The sequence below is a fragment of the Homo sapiens genome, chromosome 1 (genome assembly GCF_000001405.40).
Source record: "Homo sapiens chromosome 1, GRCh38.p14 Primary Assembly".
Lineage (NCBI taxonomy): Eukaryota > Metazoa > Chordata > Mammalia > Primates > Hominidae > Homo > Homo sapiens.
In genome coordinates this window covers 116,461,027-116,478,924 of record NC_000001.11, presented here as the reverse complement: position 1 = coordinate 116,478,924, position 17,898 = coordinate 116,461,027, and the positions used below count along the sequence as shown (strand labels likewise).

Here is a 17,898-nt window from a genome sequence, read left to right as displayed (position 1 = left end):
AAGTATTTCCCATTGGTGGCTTGGCCAGGCATTCCTTTGTCCAGCCGTGTAATGGTCTCAAGACTGCGGAGCATGTTCACGCACAGCATGGACACCACTTCATGTAGGGGCACTGGACTGCCTAGAGTTGGAGGAAGGGACCCTGTGAGTAAGCATGACCTCATCCTGGGAGCTGCATGGCGGTGGGCCTGCAGGTGGGGAGGAGAGGGTGGGCGCTCACAGGGCAAGACAGAGGCTCAGCAAACAGAATGTGTATTGTGGCTGACGCCATTGTCATCTTTCCAAACTTGTTTCTGAAAGGCATCACATGGAGAGGGGATGCTGACAGGGATGACACAGTCCCAGCTCCAGAAACACCGTCAGCTGAACCCAGGGTTTTTTCATTTTTGTGTTTTCTCATGGAGGTTTAGGGGCTTAGTAAACCCCTTTATGTGTATTTTTTTTCTAGGGATAAACCCCATACCTTTCCTCAAATCTTCAAGGTCCATGACCTCCCGACATGTAGAACCTTATGCTAATAACTGCTCCTGGGAGACCTCTCCTCAGGAACTGACTTGACCCACCTTCCTACCAATGTGGCAGGAGGAAGTCCCTAAATGTGCTCGAGCCTGTTTGATCCAACCCCTGTGGGAGTCCGTGTTCCTCTCTCCCCACTTTGCCCTGTCCTTCCCTTGTTCTTCTCTTCCTTCCCTGTCCTTCTTTGGCTTTGCTACCTCTCTTCCCTTCCCATTGTTTTTCCTCCCCCCTCCTAGGTTCTCACATCGCTTTCCTGTTTCCCTCTCCTGCAATATGGATTTGACATATTAATCATTACAGCAACTGCTAAAATTCCACTGTGCTTCATTAATCCGGAGGAAAATACCATGTCAGCTGGTAAGTGCTGTAGGGTATGCTCATATGTTTTTCCTGGGGTCCATGGTAGTGGAAATTTCTCCATTTCTATGAGTAACAAAACAGGAGGCCATATGGAAGGCCACGGTGAGCACGGGTGGTGGATGGACACAGGGAGGGTGGGAATGTGGGTGGGCACCAGTCCCTGAAGGCATTAAGTCACCCATCACGGACCCTGACAGACCCTGGGCTGTTCAAGGACTCTAGTCAGAGAGGTTGAGTTGTAAAATCCTATTATGGTTGCCAAGACCAGAACAGTGTGACTTTAATAAGGTTAAAGTTTGGCATTTTTACAGCTTTCATTATGATAAGGTTTTCAGTCACATGACGGGGAAAGAGCTAGAGAGGGTCCATCCAAACACAGCCGGTCAGACCTCAAGGTCTCCTGCCAGCTCCCCAGGGGTTCCTCATGCTGCAGGGCCGGCTTTCTAGCTGCAGTTTCTGCCCTGCTGGTGGAGAAAGCCTGCTCCTATCTTTGGCCTCTGGGACTAATTGGGGAAATGAATTCAGGCAGCTATTTTCAGACAGAAAGAGCCCTTGGCTGACTTAGAAGCAAATGCCCCATTCTTTGGCCAAAGGTGTCACCCTGACCTTGGTCAGCAATCAAGCCACCAGCTACAGTGAGAGCAGAGGAGACTGTTCTCCTCCCAAAGAACTGAGGGGGTTCCATGCTTTGGTTAATACCCTCCAGCCTAGAATACATACTCTATTGTCCATCTGGATTTGTCCATCCTTCAAACATCTGCTCCTCTGGGAGGCCTTTCCTGATTTCATCCTCCCTTCCTGGCCCCAGGAAGAATTCATCCCTTCTCACTCCCATGGAGCTTAGGCCATACTTCTCAAGCAGCAGCTATTTCAGTGCCATGAGTTCCTTGAGAAAGTGCCTTCAGCCCCACTAGACCCGTAGCTCTCCATTTACGATTCACCTGTGCCTAGTTTTTCTTTGAATACTCAGCCCATAGTACAGTGCCTAACACACAGTAGGTGCCCATAAATGTTGACTGAGAGAAAAATTTAGCTGAAGGCACATCCCTTACACTGGGAAGAAGGCTTAAATGTCATGTCCTCCATGCTTGGATCATCTTTGCCCATGAAGAACAGGAGAAGGTATAATTTCGAAATAGGTTACTAGTTTCTCAAAGTTGGAATTTGCATGGGTTCCTGTATCTATAGCATCTACCATCATGTGTCCACTAGTGTAAATTTCAAATGCATTAATGGTCTCATCTATATCCATTGTGTCATAATGTCGACTCATTTAGAAAATTCTTTATTCAAACTGGACAATTCAAATCAACACCATCAATTATATAACTACCCTGTGTCACAGCCAGCACTAGGCCATTCAGAAATACAGAATTAAGAAGTCCCTGTCCAAAGGAGTAGAGTCTAGTCGCCAAAGAGATATAGTCAAGTGTTAAGTGCATATGAGGTCATGGTTTGCATGCTGGCTGTGTGCTGTCATGCAGGCACACAAAGATAAGGGCACAGCATGTTCCCTTGAGAAGTTTATGGTCCAGCTGAGGAGCTAAGCCATTCACTAATAAAAAACACCAAACCGCAGCTGAGCATACTCAGGTATACAGAGATCCCTTAGACCACAGCTCCCAGGATCATGGCGGGTAGCCCCTCTCTGGACCCACAGGTGTGTGAGAACTACCAATGGGAGAAGAGCTTGGCCCTTCCTAATGCTTGGAGTCTGATGGACTCCAAAGGCCACTGTGTTTTGGTGCAGAACTGGAGTTTTTCTCATGGGCCTGGGACTGACCTGAACCATCAGTGCTGCTATGGAGCGGAACTGACTCTTCGGCTAGGCCCTGAGAGACCCCCCCATCAGGGCTCCTTGGATGAGGGATGCCCAGGCCTGGGCTTGACCTCCCAAGGTTATTTTGGACCATAATGAGCCCTGCTTCCGGCACACCCTCGGCTCAGAACCAGCCCAGAACTTCACTGGATGCTACAGGAGGCAGGAGCATTGGTGGATGACCTTCAGAAGTGGGCAGTGCTGCTTAAGGGGGAGGGATCACCCCCACTTCACCTCCACAGCACGTAAGCTTTGCAATTAGAGACCAGGGACCAGTAGAACTTGGAGGATGGCAGCGTGACACTAGAACTGGCCTCCCACGCTGCTCTGACTGGCTTTCCCCGAGTACTGGAGATGTGAGAAGATAGTCAAAGCCACCGGCAAGGGGTTGGGGGCTGAGAATTGTCCCCTTTGCTTGACCAAGGGCCAAGGGACAAAGTAGCAGGGTCCAAGGAGGCACCTCTCTCACATGGAGGGGAATCAGGCTCTATCACTACAGAATAAGTGTCCTCAGTTGGAGGCCCTCCCTGCCCGGGGGAGGGAGATATCCTTGGCAGTGCCGCTCCTGGCCCCCACAGTTCTCTCAGCTGAGCCGAGAAGCAATTCTCCTTTGCCCCTGGCCACTCCTCACTCGTGAGTGGGGAGCGTGACTCACATCTGTGGGGAGGGCAGGCACAGTTAGGTGAGCCTCATTCAAATGCCAGGCAGACGCAAATAGCACGCTTTCCTATGAATAGCTTCCCCAGCTGTTCTGCGGGAGGCTGAGCGCGTCCTTATCCAAAGTACATTTGCCCTGTTCTTATTTATGAGCCGAATCGGGAACCATGGGCTGCTTACCTTTGGCCCCTCAAGGCCAGCTTTGTGTTCTTTGTTCTCTAAAGTCTCACCCAAGTGAAATATTAACTGGTGGTGGGACAAAAGGGCCTGGTGCCTCTGAAGGCAGGGCTGGTGGAGAAGGATGCCTGGAGGGTGTGTTGTTCCCTGACCTGGAATTTTCCATTCCTCTTGTGCTCACATGACCAGGGCAGTGCTTTCTTCAAGTCACAAAATGAAGATGGCTGCCAGGGTGGCTGGTGCTAAAAAACCAGATAGTGGTGGCCATGGCTGTTAATGGCACCATCATCACTGATGATGATAATCTCAGTGGTACAGCCTGATGGAAGCTGTTAGGCCTGAGTGCCAGGAGGCCAGGGCCGTGGCCATGGCTCTGCCTCCACAGCAGCCTGGAGAACCTTGGGGAAGCCACTAGATGCCTTGGCCCTCTACTCCTCAGCTGTAACACGGGGAGGCTGGGAGCACAGAGGTCCTTTCCTGCTCTGATGATCTCTGCATTTATGAACTGCATTGATAGCTGGTCGCAGTAGCTGTATTGCTTTATCTGTGAGGAGTTATTAGGGTGCATCCTCCACTACCTTTGTACCTCTCTTTCCCTTCTCTCCATCTGCCTCACTGTTTCTTGGCCTCATTCCCTTTATCTCATTTCCTTCATCTTTATCTTCAGGCCGAGGACTTCTAAGCTAGACTACACATTGATTCAGTGTCTTTTGAATCAAGAGGGCCCACCTCTGCCACTTTCTAGTTCTGCCACTTCCTAGCTATGTGACCTAAGCCAAATTATTTTGTTTCTCTGCATATCAATTTCTTCATCTATAAAAAGGCAATCGGGTTAGGGCTTTTGTAAATATCGCACATAGTGTCTTGTATGTGAAGGCTCCACGGATAGAAGGCATGGCATGTTTAACATGTGAAAATTGGCATACATAAAGAACTCATCTTTCTTCCCGCAGACCTCCTTCTGTCTCTGTTTCTGTTACCAGGGATACTCTCCTCCGAATTATTGGGGTTTGGGGTTGATGTCAGCTTGCCTTTTTTGTCCCCTTGTTCCCTCCAGTATGTGTCTCCAGAAGCCTTCCTTTCCATTCCTGTGGGGTCTGACAGTTGTTGGAAGAAGGCCTGCAGGTCCAGGGCCGAGCAGGGGCCTCCACCGTCTGCTGAGGTGGGGATACTATCTTTGGGAATCACTGGAAGTTTTACTTACACAGGGACTTTGCCTGGGGGTGGTGAAGGGATTGGTTTAAATCATTGTTGACTGGCCAGGATTTCCTGAAGGTGAATGTGGACCTCATTGACTGGGGCCAAACAGACCTGAGTACACTTTCTTGGACTTGCTGCTGACCTCCTTACTGTCCAGAGTCTACCTGGTGCGTTCATGTTCCCTACACACTGCAGGTTGTGCATGAGGATGTCTTTCAGGGTGACACTGGCTTGAAAAGTTAAGGGAGGCAGCCAGGTGCAGTGGCTCATGCCTGTAATCCCAGCACTTTGAGAGACCAAGGCAGGCAGATCCCTTGAGGCCAGGAGTTCTAGACCAGCCTGGCCAACATGGTGAAATCCCATTTCTATGGGTGTGGGAGCCTGCACTTATAATCCCAGCTACTTGGGAGGCTGAGGCATGAGAATTGCTTGAACTCAGGAAGTGGAAGTTGCAGTGGGCTGAGATTGCGTGACTGCCCTCCAGCCTGGATGACAGAGCGAGACTCGTCTCAAAAAAAAAAAAAAAAAAAAAAGAAAAAGAAAAGAAAAAAGAAAGAAAGAAAAGTTAAGGGAGGCAGGTACTTCCAGAATAGCCCATATTACTCTTTGGGAAAAAATTTTTTAAATTGCTTCCTCTAGAAGATGTCGCTCTGTGGGCACATAGCTTAGTGGAATATAAGCTGGGTTTCAGTACCCACTTGCCCCCTTAGTGCAGAGCCTTTGTGCAAGATACAACCTGCCCAGTCTTAAGTGAGTCCTTAACTCCCATTCCAGACCCTGGCACTCACTCATTAGATTCCAAGTTCCATGAGGACAGGGTCCATGTCTCCTTCATCAGTGAGGTCCCAGGGCCTAGCAAAGGGCCTGGCACGATGCAGATGCTCAAGAAATATTGCTGGATGTTGAATGAATGGATGAATGAATGAACAATGCCTTGTAGCTAGGAATGCCTGGTGTAATTGGTACCAAAGAGCTCTGAGGGCAATAAAGTGGGGCAGTTAAGAGCAGGTGCTTTGGAATCAGAAAAGACTGAGTCTGGATTTTGCCCTACCTCTTAATAGATGTATGATCTTAACTGAGTCTGACTTCCTTCATCTTTAAAATAGGGGTGTAATAACACCTAACCCATTAGTGTTATAATGAGGCTTCGATGAGATGATATATGTAAAGCACATATATTAGTGTTTGGCCAATGGTGAAGTTGTAAATGATGCTTCCTGGAGAGCACTAAGGATAGCATTTCCCCGGGGGCCTCCCCATCCTAACTGCTTTAGGGTTCCCATACCAAGTAGCCTTCCCAGTCATTCTCAGTATGCATCTCGGATATGGAGTGAGGCAGCTTGTGGCTGCAGTGATTTGTTTGCTCTTGGCACCCATCCACATAAACTTACTGAGGCTTCAAAACCCATTAGGCACTCAAGCATTCAGTGCTTCATGCATTTCCCAGAGAATGCTTGATTTTTGTTGCTTAGATTACAAATATGTCCTACGATTTACTGCTTCCCATTACTGTACCCCTACTTACTCTTTTTCTTGGTCTTGGATACCTGCCACCATCATTTAGCTGATCTCATGCTATCAGCAAAGGCAAGGAAAACAATAGCTTCTCTACAGGACTTTGCCCTCCCACAGCCTCAGGGGCCACAGATCCTACATGCTGGGCTAGAAAACACATGTCCCCAGCTTCTGAAGATGTTCACTTGAGAAATATAATACAGGCACACACTCACTGCTGCTGCATCTGTTTTTTTGAAGCCCACAGCAGCAGTCCAGCTGAGAGCACATCAGGATGTCTATCCTTCAGCAGTGCTGCAAGTGGGAATTTGTGAAAGGCTCTGCTGAGGAGCTGAAGAAAAGTTGCTAAGTCAATTCAGACTGGAGGGGGAGAAGTGGGAGAGGATTTTTCTATCACTGGTTGCATATGTCCTTGGGGACTTAAAGATGATCTTGACTTTTTTCAGCCTGAAAATTTGCTATTTTAAAACATCAATGTTGGCTCATGCTAATTCACCAAGAGATCAAGTGACTTTGCAGGGGTGGGCAGGTGAGGGGGAAGTAGGGTGTGGTAGAGGGGAATGTTTATGGAATAATGAAATGGACACAGGATGGGGGGTGGTGGGGGGTCAAAAATATAGGTTTAATCTCTGTTTTGTCAATGAGTGGTTATGTGATCAGTTGATGCGACTTATCAGCCAGGGCCTTTGTGCCTCTATCTGTCCTATGGGAGCAACACAGGGATGTGCAGAAATTATTACAGGCCATAGATTTGAGTGTGTTTGCAGCACACACGGGGTGTGAAGCCACTGCCCCCACAGTTGGCCAGTGCAGGCAGTATTGGTTCTACAGCCTCTGCGGTGTCCAGGGGATACTTCTGAGGAAGGGAAACAGAAAAGAGAGCTGTAGAAGATTCAGAGCCTTATTCCAGGCAGGTGCTCTCCTCTTGATGATTCAGCCAGGGAGCTTGCCCTTCCTGTCCAGATGACAGGATTTCATGGCAGGCATTAAAACGCTTCTTCCATTATAAAGCAAGTCAGTTGTGGGTAGAAGGGAAGGGAAGGATGGAGCAGGCTCTGGAGAACATGCAGCCCTAGTGTGGATGTTGGGTGAGATGGCATTGAAGCACAGGGAGGGGGAGGTGCAGAATGCTCAGACTGCTAGAGGAAGAAGGGAAGGCAAAACTGGAAAGGGAGGTGAATCAGGCAAGCAGAGTGAGCCCTCGGGATACGCAGCTGAGCCCTGGTGATAACTGACATCCAGCTCCTGCAGAGGGAGTCTGAGTTTCCCCTGTAATCTGTGTATCAGGAAGGCAGAGCTCACGGGGTGGGGGCCCCCAGGTCCGGGAGCTGTGGGGGCAGAGTGAAAAAACTCAGCAATCAAAATAATTGATATTTTAATAAATAAAAATTAATGCAATTAATCATGATGCACTAAAAAAGTTAAATAAAGACAAAATGTGATCCTGTAACTTGTATGACTTGGTCTCACTCATCTCACCCTAGTCTGAGCCCTGTTGGCTTTTACCTCAGCAACTGAGCAGCATTTTGATGAAAACTTTTCTATTCAACTCATATTTCTCAGAGACCCTGCCCATGGTGTCTTAGTCCATTTTGTGTTGCTAGAACAGAAGAGCACAGAGTGGGTAATTTATTTAAAAAAAAAAAAGAAATTTATTTCTCACAATTCTGGAGGCTGGAAAGTCCACTCTCAAGGTGCTGGCATCTTGTGAGGGCCTTCTTGCTGTATCACCCCCATGGCAGACAGTGGAAGAGCAAGAGGGTGTGAGAGAGGGAGAGGAAGGGGGCGGAACTCATCCTTTAATGAGGAACCCATTCCTGCAATAACTCATCCACTTCCCCAATAACAGCATTAGTCCATTCATGAGGGCAGAGCCCTAATGACCTAATCATCTCTCAAAAGTTCTACATCTCAACACTGTTGCATTGGAGATTAAATTTCCAACACATGAATTTTGGAGGACACATTCAAACCATAGCATACAGTAACTTCAAAATGATTTACTCTTTACCGGGGTAGTACCATTAGTGACTCCAAGTAATCCTCTGATACTTTTCTTGTTAAAGAAATTAAGTATACATAACATTTACACCCATTTTATCCCTGTTGGGGGCAGTCCACGACCCCCAGGAATATGCATGCTGGGTAAAAAAGGTGCACTGTAAATATTGGAAAAAGAATGCTACCTGATTTGATGCATTGAAATATTGACTTGTAGCTAATTGTTTGCAAATGGTTTTATTTGTATATGTTCAGTTTCCTGCCTCCTCATCAACCAGATATTAAAGGTTAGGGTCATTCATTCATTTGTGCATTCAGCAAACATTTATTAAGCCTCTATTATGTGCCAAGCATTTGCTTGGTGCAGGGAATACAGAGGTAAATGACACAGGCCCTGATCGCCCTGATCTAGGAGTGCCCAAAGACTGATGGGGGAGATACTTGAAGGACAGTGAGGTTGATGAGGATGATGTTCAAGGATTTTCACAGGATGTCGCAGTACACAGGGGTCGAATATATAACAATACAGAGAGGGCTCCCTAGCCTGTAGGGATGTGTGGGTACTAGAACTTAGCTAAGGGAGGAGAGGAAGAAAATATTTCAGGCAAAGGCAACTAAATGTGTAGGGCAATGACTTCCTAGCACCCTCAGGGTGCCAAGGGATAAAGTGGCCAGGGGCCATGCCCTCAGCACACCCCCTACAGGCCACTCCCAATAAATCTACATCCATTTAAAAATACTAGGCCTAATATGCTGGCTGGCTGGATGCCCCTTGTTAGTGTATGTGCAGCACCCTGCCTTTCCCACAGCATTTATCCCACTGCCTGTGGCTGCCAGCATCCTTGTCAGTGTCCCCCATTGGACTATTAGCTCATGATGTAGGGATGATTCTGTCTTGCCCAATATTGTAATACCAGTGCCCAGCACAGTGTGCCGTTCCAGTAAGTGCTCAATAAAACATGTGTTCAATGAATGAATGAATGAATGAAAATAAATAAATAAATAAATAAATAAATAAATAAATGGAGGTAAAAGCAACAAGTTCAAGGACTCCCAAGTCACTTAGCACCTGGATTCATTTATATTCCTTTTATGTTCTTTTAATATTATCTAATGTGTAGACTCTGGATATAGCCAGTGTCCAATATACAATTTTAATGAATTATGATCCATCGACTGGGAACACCAGACCCATGGCCTAGGCCTTAACTAAGAGCTGGGAGACCTCTCATCTTCCCTCTCCTGCCAACAGGGTCCATATGACAATCATTACTTGTGGGATGAACCTATGAGGTTAATAATTATATTCTTCTCAACATGACAAACTGCCATTGTCTTTTATGTTTAGCTTTCAAAATAAAACTTAGAGGAATTAAGAACAATATTATACAATCATGGATAACATCAATGCAGTAATTAAAGGGTAGGTTAAAAATTCTCTACTTCAATATTTTCTACCCATTCCAAGCAGCTAACTAATAGATATTTTAATGAAGTAAATATATTATTTATTAGTTTGTAACATTCAGACTATAGGGTTGATAATACCACAGTCTAGAGAAGTGCAACCTTAAGGCAGAGATGATGAAAGATTCCATAATTGTTAAATCCTAGGACTTCCATTTACTTTTTGTAAATCCCTGGGCAAGTTACTTATTCTCTCTGAGCATTTCTTCATTTGTAAAATGGAAACAGTAATACCTCACCTACTTACCTTAACCAGAGCTATTCTGGAGATCAGATGACACAATGAAAGTCAAGACATTTTATGAACCACAAAGTGCTATACTAGTATGAAGAATTATTATTAGTTATTTGCTGGATCATATTCTTACAAAAAAGAAATGTGAATAGTAATACAGGATTCAAAATTGCTAGATTTCTAGAGACACGGCGTGGTAGATAAAGTGCCCTTCTGCAACCCTTCTTCTACCAACCCAGACCTAAAGACTAAAGAGATGGGAAAATTGATAGCCTTCTAGAAACTTCGCTTAGCCATCTGCAGCAGTAAACCAAGACAGTGTAACTATTTGACTGAAGGCTTGGAAACACTCAAAACTCTGTCAAGGTAATTTTGCTATAATCTTAAGCAAACAGGTCTGAATGTAATGCCCCATTAGAAAGCAGGAACCAATGTCTTCTGTTTTGCTTTCCCAAGTCAACTGTGAGGTGGCACTGTGCCTCAAGTGTGTTCTACAGGGAATTCACACCAAAATTACCTGTAAATTGGGTAGAGGATATTGTATGTGGGGGAGAGGGGAAGGAGGGTGCTGTTAAGATGCACATTCCTGGGCCCCACACCCCAGAACCATGAATCAGAATCACTGGTGATGAGGGCTAGAAGTCTGAACTTTTAATATATACCCCAGGTTTCACAACAACTACTTTTTAGAGTCTGTCTGATAACAATCCACTTGGGGGCATCTCTTCATCTTAAGGCTAAAACAACTTTGGAAAGATTTCAGAGAGGAAATAAATAATTTAGGGGAAAAGGACTTCTTCATAAAAAAATTAAATATGTATAGGATTGGCTGTATGAAGTCATGATTATGGTTTATAAATATTTGAAAGGCACAAATTCAAAAGATAGAATCTAAATGTTTTAATTCAGGTACCAGACGGCATAAGTAGGAGTAATGATGAAATGACATAAGCAAAGAGAACTAGGGCCAGATATCAAGGAAAACATCCTGACAGCGTAAAAAAAAAAAGTTATAGAATCATTTTAAATGGTCAAGTTAACCAAAATATTAATCCATTTAGTGGAAAAAACCAGCTGGGCAGCAGTTGAAAAAACAACCAACTGAGTGGTTAAATTCTCTCTCTCTCTCTTTTAAACTATTGTTTTGATGTTTGAAGCTTTCTGATCCTAAGTCATAGAAATCTAATTTTTACTTAATAAGTAAATAGGTGACTCATGAAAAATGTTTTGGGTAGGAAGTGCCTGCTAGTCCTAGCTAATATCTAGGTTTAGGAGAAGCAGAAAGTAAGCATAAAACTGCCGGGAGCGTCATTACCTCCCCTTCTGGGAAGAGTGTGACATTCATTGAGAACTACGTGCCATGCTCTGTCTCATTTAATTTGCCCAGCCTTGTCAAGTAGATGTCATTTCCATTTCACGGATGAGGAAAGTCAGGCTTAAAGAGGACAAGTTAGTAGGAAATGAAAAGCCTGAAATTTGAACCCTCATCCGTATAACACCAAAATCCCTGCTTTTTCTCCTCAAGCAAGTACTGGGTAAAAAGCACAGTAGTCACCACTGGTATCTTCTTTCTGTATCTAAAGATTGCCAAGGTGAGCTAACAAGTAATGACTCATACACATGATCAAACTCTCTCCAAGCAATCTTCATACTGGGAAGCTCTGTGAGAAATTACTGTGTTTTTCTCATTTTGGATCCTGCTATTGTCTACAAAAACTTGATGTTTTTGAATGCTAGCAAGGCCAGAGTTAATGGGGTAGCCTATGGAAGGGAATCCACTTTGGGCAATCTTCCAGGCTAAGAGTCAGTCACAGACCTAGGATCATGATAATGGAAATATGTCCCTCCCCATTACCACTCCTCCCTCCTTTTCTCTTCACCATCATCTTCCTCTTCTTCCTCCACTAACAGTCTTATCCCCATCATCTCAACACTACCTCTATCATCACAACCACTGTCAATTGTCACCGTCATCACCATTATCATCAGCACTACTATCATTACTGTCATCACCATCACCACCATCATTACCACCATCTTACCATCATGACTGCTACCACTAGTACCACCATCACCATCATTGATTTATGGAGAAAAATTGAGTTTTCTGTATTTGATATTGCTCATGAATACTACTCACCACCACTTCCATCCCAAAGACCCCAAATAATACTCTGTGCTAGATAGTCTTTTTTAACACCAGCCACACTTTGTGGAGCAGGAACTAGACCAATTATACTAACATAAAAACAAAACTGAGCCATAAGTCCTCACCACAATCTTAGCAAAACACAACCATGTACCAAATTATTAAGACTTCAAAACTCCTTTAAAAAGAAAGCGGATAATAAACAGATATAAAGGAAACTCAGCTGTCTTCATACACCCCTAGGGCAGCCCCTGAAGCAACATAGTCATTAGGTTGAAAGAAAGAAGCATCTGATAAACCCCAGACATCCTGGTGCCAATTTGCGTCTCTCCCTTTCTGGCCTGTGCAGAGCTCAGAGACAGCGTCTAAGAGGGCGGCTGACAATCTGCCTCAAACACAAACACATGACAAATATAGTTCTGCAGTGAAGACTTTAGCCCCACGGGGAAAGCTGAGACTCAGGAGCCTGATGGCATAAACAAGGCGAAAGGCTTGGTAGCAAATCAGAAGACTTGTTTTTGGAAGCTGAAAACTTACTTCGGCAACAACAGTCCTCCATGGCTCCCTGTTTGTGCTCTTGCTGGCCAGGCCTGGGAAGCCCTCTTGGGGCCTCTGAGGCTTGTAACCAGCCCTGCTTAGGTAAGTACACTGTGCAAATAAGCCCTCTGGGGCTTACAGACATGTAAACAGCTCTCCAGCTGACCTTCAGACACAAACTCGGGATTTAAAACACTAATTTCAGACCCATGAGTCCAGAGAGGGTCTGGGCTGGAGGAATGGGGGCGCCAGAGAAGGGGTCCCAAAATGATTGGTCAGTGGGCCGAAGGGCAAGCCATAGGAAAGAGGGGAGGCAAATGAGCCAACAGGTGTGAAACCAGCTCCCACAGGACCTGGAAAGAAATGGATAATCAATACAAAGGCAGTGATTGTTCCAGGAAACACAAGTGTTGCTGACAAAGTAAAAGGAGAGCAAAAGGGAAAGGGATGATTGAGAGGGAGGGAGAAGGAAGGAACGAACAGGCAAGGTTCAGAAGGGAGCCACGTAAGTTAAGTATTTTTCAAGAAACTTGTTGTTATAAGGGGCAAGGGGTGAAATTTCTTTTTTGCCTGCCCTGTCCAAAATCACAATGCAAAATGAAGTAGCGTTGCACAATGTCATCGATGTTAACACTGCTGAACTGTAAATTTAGAAATGGTGAAGATGGTAAATTTCATGTTATGTGTATTTTATCACAATAAAAAAGTAGGAAAAAAAAAACTAAGTAGGATTAGGTGACAATCCCAAAGTACTGGGATATTCTTATCAATAAAAAAAATGGAAGGTAAAGTCTTACTGAGAACATGCATACTGAAAGCACTTGGCTGTGTCTCCCCATTCTGACATTTTAGACAACTATCCAAGGCATTGGGGAGGAAAGCGTTTTCAGTATGGATTGGCAAAATCTCTCTTTTCTATGGATTGTTTTGGCTTTATGTCTTGACCTCCCCTTCCAGGCATGGTTGGCACGACACTGGCTCCTGCGTCTTCCCCAAAAGTCCCCCATGCATTAAATCCTGCAAGAAATGACACTGAGTCATGTTCTCCCCACAACATGGTTTCCTTCAAAGGAGGAATTCTTCCTTCCTGGGTGATGCCCCAACTAAGAGCCTTTTTATTGCTATAAAAAGAGGCATTGACTTTTCAGGGTTGTCCTTCCTCCGAAAGCTCTCTTTTTCCAGCATGGCAGCCTCCCTGCCCACCATTTTATTTCCTATTCTAACCAGTGAAGCCCACAGGGGAAAGAGCAGCAGGCTTTTGGGGTTCAGTTTAAACAAATGAGGTGGTACAGTGAGGATGACTGGGACAAGAAAGAAGCTGGTAAGTAATCTGTAGTTACCATCTAACTTCCTGCCAGTTTTCCAAAAGGATTATGTATTTTTATTTTAAAATTTTACAATTATCTGTTATTTTATGCAAAATAGGCATATCAGCCAGGTAGACAATAAAATGAGTTTCTAAAATGCAAAATCCATTTCTTCACTGACTTCATCATGAGACTGCAGATGAGTTCCTACAGGAAAAAAAAAATTCCCCAATTATTGGAGATAAAAATTTATCACAAGAAGAGGTTAAGTTGATGTCAGTTCTGTGGCAAACATAGTAATCTGTTATTCTAGCAAGATTCTTACCTGCCTGGAGTCAAATGGTGAGGAATAGTGTGATATGGTTAAAGGATCACAGGATTTGGAGTTAAGCAGGTTTGGATCCTAGCTCTGCCTCTCACAGGTATAATATTAGGTCAACTAAACGCTGAGCTTTGGTTTCTATTCCCATGAAAAGATAATAATCATATCTATTTTTGTAGGATCTTCAATGAGGCTTAAATGAGACAGTGTTGCTGGGCACAGTGGCTCACACCTGTAATTCCAGCAGTTTGGGAGGCTGAGGCAGGCAGATTGCTTGAGCCCAAGAGTTCAAAACCAGCCTGGGCAACATGGCGAAACCCCATCTCCACAAAAAATACAAAAAAATTAGCCAGGCATGGTGGCATGTACCTGTAGTCACAGCTACTCAGGAGGCTGAGGCGGGAGGATCTCTTGAGTTGGGGAGGTTGAGGTTTCAATAAGCCACGATCATGCCACTGCACTCCAGCCTGGGCAACAAAGTGAGACTCTATCCAAAAAAAAAAAAAAGACAATGTGGCAAAGTGCTTGATATATATGATAGGTGCTCATAAATGATGGCCACTCTTACCTAACAGCTCTCTTTCTTTTAGAGATAAGAACCAATTTATATTAAGGGCTTATTGTTTGCCGCTCGTTGGCTATAGGCCCTCTACATACCAATAGTGACTGCTATTTCCTGCATACAGGAAATGTGACAGACATTTATGTGATTTATGACTTCACAGATAATCCTTACAGCAGCAGCTCTGCACAGTATCATTCTCCCCTGTACAAATGAAGAGACGGAAGCTCGAATTCTCACACGACACCCTTGCAGCACTTGAACCACTCCAGGATTCTCTTCTGCTGGTCACCCAACTATTCTCCCAGGTCACCGGGGTTACTTACAATCTTGGATTTAGGGTTGCCAGATTTAGCAAATAAAAATACAGCATGCCTGGTTAAATTTGAATTTCAGGTAAACAGATAAAATTTTAGTATAAGTATGTCCCATGCAATATTTGGGACATACATTCAAAAGACAATTCATTCTCCTGTATTTCATCTGGCAATCCTACTTGAATTCCATTTGTAGAGTTCTCCCTGTTCCATTAGAAATGATCACACTTGGAAACATTGGATGGTTCTATCCCATTTCCTGACAAATGGTGCTCCCCGCACATTCTCTAAATCAGAGGCATCAAGTATTCGCCAGGGTGTGTTTGAAATAGCACTATGTGCATCCTCCTTAAAAATGAGAATCTATGCATTTATTTCAGCTTAGATCTGTAAATATTTTATTTGCTGCTGCTACTGAGTTAAAACCCCCAGTTTCATCATGTTCTGACTGGCAAGTGTTTGAAGTGTCTGATTTTAAAACAGCTCTAGTTCTCTTTTAATTAGATATTTAATTTAACTGGCTGCTGATCAATAGTTTCAGGATATTTGTTTTCAGCTTGATGGGAATGGCAAAGGACCATTTGTGCATAAAATAGCCCACTAGTTATCCTTGTTTTCAGTGACACCGTTGCTCTTACTGTTCTTTCTTAATGTCACAACTGTTGGCTCCTCAGCAAGTTAAATATCAGCCCTGGTAGAAGCTGATCTGATGAGTCCCCTTCTATATTGAAAATGCTGGTAGAAACACTGAAGCCAGGAAAGCAGAGGAATAAAGGAGGGCAGGGCATTGAGGAAATGAGGCCAAGGGTAGAGCGATCATACTTGAACCTGCCAATCGTGAAGCAGGAATCTGTGCTGCCTTGGGAATGGAGAGGCTGGGGAGGAGTCTCGAGCCAGCCCTTTGGCTGTGGCCAGGGATGGGTCATGGGGAGTCTTAGCCCAGCTCACTCCAACACGATACCCTCATGATCCCAGATGCTCCCATTTGCTTTCTTCCCTGAATAAAAAGAGAAAGGGATTTCTATATCCAATCCCCTACCAAGCTGTGTACTTAGGTAGAGCAAATCCATTGCATTCATGAAGCTTCCATCAGACCTGGGGAAATTCTTAAAATGGTAAAGACTTCTATAGCATATCATTTCGGTCAGGTCTCCTCTTCTCTTTACACGTTCTCATACCTCAAGTTCCCATCCTTTCAGATTTCACACAGTTTTCCAGACAAATATCTGTAGAAATTCACAAACCACTTATTCTGAGGTTTTGCATAGAGCTTATGGTAGACGTGATCATGACACAGATCTGGGTCACTGCCAATCCCATGTTCCACTCTTCTTCAACTTGTTTAAGACTCCCATTTTGAAGAATGAATGACCATTTTTTTATATCTCTTTGCTTCCATCATCAGCACCAGCAGTTATCATTCTTGTGGCATCCATTTTCCATAAAGAAACATGAGTTTTTGTCATTCACAAATTTCTACATGAAAAGCAGCAACAGAGGGTAATAAAGCTATGACGTGATGCAGATGTGTCACAGGTGGCTCAGCCCATTCACTGACAACAAGATCAGTGCTCAGAAACCAGATTCTGAATCCAATACATGACTCAGATTTATGCCTCTGGAAAATTAGAAATCATGATCAGTTATAGGTCTTTAGACAAACCAACTAATATTAAATGCAGGAGTGCAAAAGGTCATGTATGTGGAATCACTTTGTATCATCCTGTATCCCTGACTTGACTAGAACCAGCCATTTACCAAAGAAGCTTGTTCCCGGGCATTTTTCCAGTGTTACACAGTGAAAAGGTAGCTGAGTTGAAGCTGGGTAAAATAATAATGCTAATCCTCCTATCATTGCCCAGTACCTGTTGCATACCAAGTGCTTTACATCAGATTTTGCATCGCGATTAGGGCTGAGCATCCTGGGTTTGAATCCTGGCTCTGCTACTCCCTAGCTGAATGACCTCGGAAAATTTACTTCATCTCTCTGTGACTCAATGTCCTCATCTATAAAATAAGGACATGAATATTGTCTACCTCACAGGGTCATTACGAGGATGAAAGGAGCTACTATTTGTGAAGTGTGTAAATCAGAGCCTGGTATGTAGTAAGCACTAAGTGTCTGTATTTCATATATATATAAATCTCTTATATATAATAAATATATATACACACACTTATACATTCAAATATACACCCATACTTATATTTATTTATATTGCTATGTATGTGTATTTGAATGTATATATGTGTGTATATAGTCACATACATGTATGTGTGTATACATGTGTGTGTGAAAATTTATGTGTTTGGTTTCTGGTTCACAGCCAGTTCAGCTGTCAAGGGTGAGACTCTTTGGGTGGGTTGCCTATAGAGAAAAGGCAGGAGAGACTTAACAGGACATCTCTCTTGCAGGCGCTCTTAGCAACTCTGCATTACTTTCTCCTCTTTCCCCAAGCAGATGGTAATCATAGGGACCCACAAGCCAAGTTAGATCTTCAGTGGAGTAAGTGATCTTTAGCAACTGTATCAGACTTGGCTAAAGTTTATTATTCACTGAGGGTAATCAGCAGAACCTGGGCCAGGCCAGTCACGCAGAAGTTCATAGGTCAGATTCCCTAGGTCTGTTTGAGGCTAGATGTCTCTGAATCTCTGAAATGCAACCAGTTCTAATGTGGAACAGAGAGAGAGACACAAGCAGGGCGGGAAGGTGAATGCTGAGGAACTAGGAGGCCAAAGGGAGCCCCTTGCCCTGAA

General features: G+C 44.2%; 1 long non-coding RNA gene across 2 annotated transcripts in view, besides 4 other annotated features; it reads left to right on the top strand.

The window, feature by feature from the left end:
- Nucleotides 95–654: an enhancer, noted in NCBI's record as "H3K27ac-H3K4me1 hESC enhancer chr1:117020893-117021452 (GRCh37/hg19 assembly coordinates)". NCBI's record gives its function as "activates a minimal SCP1, AML or CMV promoter by ChIP-STARR-seq in primed H9 embryonic stem cells {active_cell/tissue: H9 hESC(primed)}" and the evidence as "EXISTENCE:reporter gene assay evidence [ECO:0000049][PMID:30033119]".
- Nucleotides 99–17,898, top strand: part of LINC01762 (long intergenic non-protein coding RNA 1762) — a 55,103-nt gene continuing 37,303 nt past the window's right edge. Inside the window, exons 1-2 of one of the 2 annotated variants that reach the window (NR_125972.1) lie at nucleotides 99–144; nucleotides 753–873. This is a non-coding gene — a long non-coding RNA (long intergenic non-protein coding RNA 1762). Of the gene's footprint in view, nucleotides 145–752; nucleotides 874–4,586; nucleotides 4,692–17,898 lie in introns of both variants that reach the window. The other variant, NR_125973.1, reaches the window with a different exon arrangement.
- Nucleotides 3,521–3,665: an enhancer, noted in NCBI's record as "145 bp enhancer 99 fragment used in the MPRA reporter construct; PK_construct_245". NCBI's record gives its function as "activates an SV40 promoter by MPRA in HepG2 cells {active_cell/tissue: HepG2}" and the evidence as "EXISTENCE:reporter gene assay evidence [ECO:0000049][PMID:23512712]".
- Nucleotides 3,587–3,600: a transcriptional cis regulatory region, noted in NCBI's record as "HNF1 motif; enhancer activity is reduced when this motif is scrambled". NCBI's record gives its function as "necessary for full MPRA enhancer 99 activity {active_cell/tissue: HepG2}" and the evidence as "EXISTENCE:site-directed mutagenesis evidence [ECO:0005528][PMID:23512712]".
- Nucleotides 7,375–7,610: a silencer, noted in NCBI's record as "fragment chr1:117013937-117014172 (GRCh37/hg19 assembly coordinates)". NCBI's record gives its function as "represses an EF-1alpha promoter that drives an FKBP-Casp9 reporter gene in an ReSE screen in HepG2 liver carcinoma cells {active_cell/tissue: HepG2}" and the evidence as "EXISTENCE:reporter gene assay evidence [ECO:0000049][PMID:32094911]".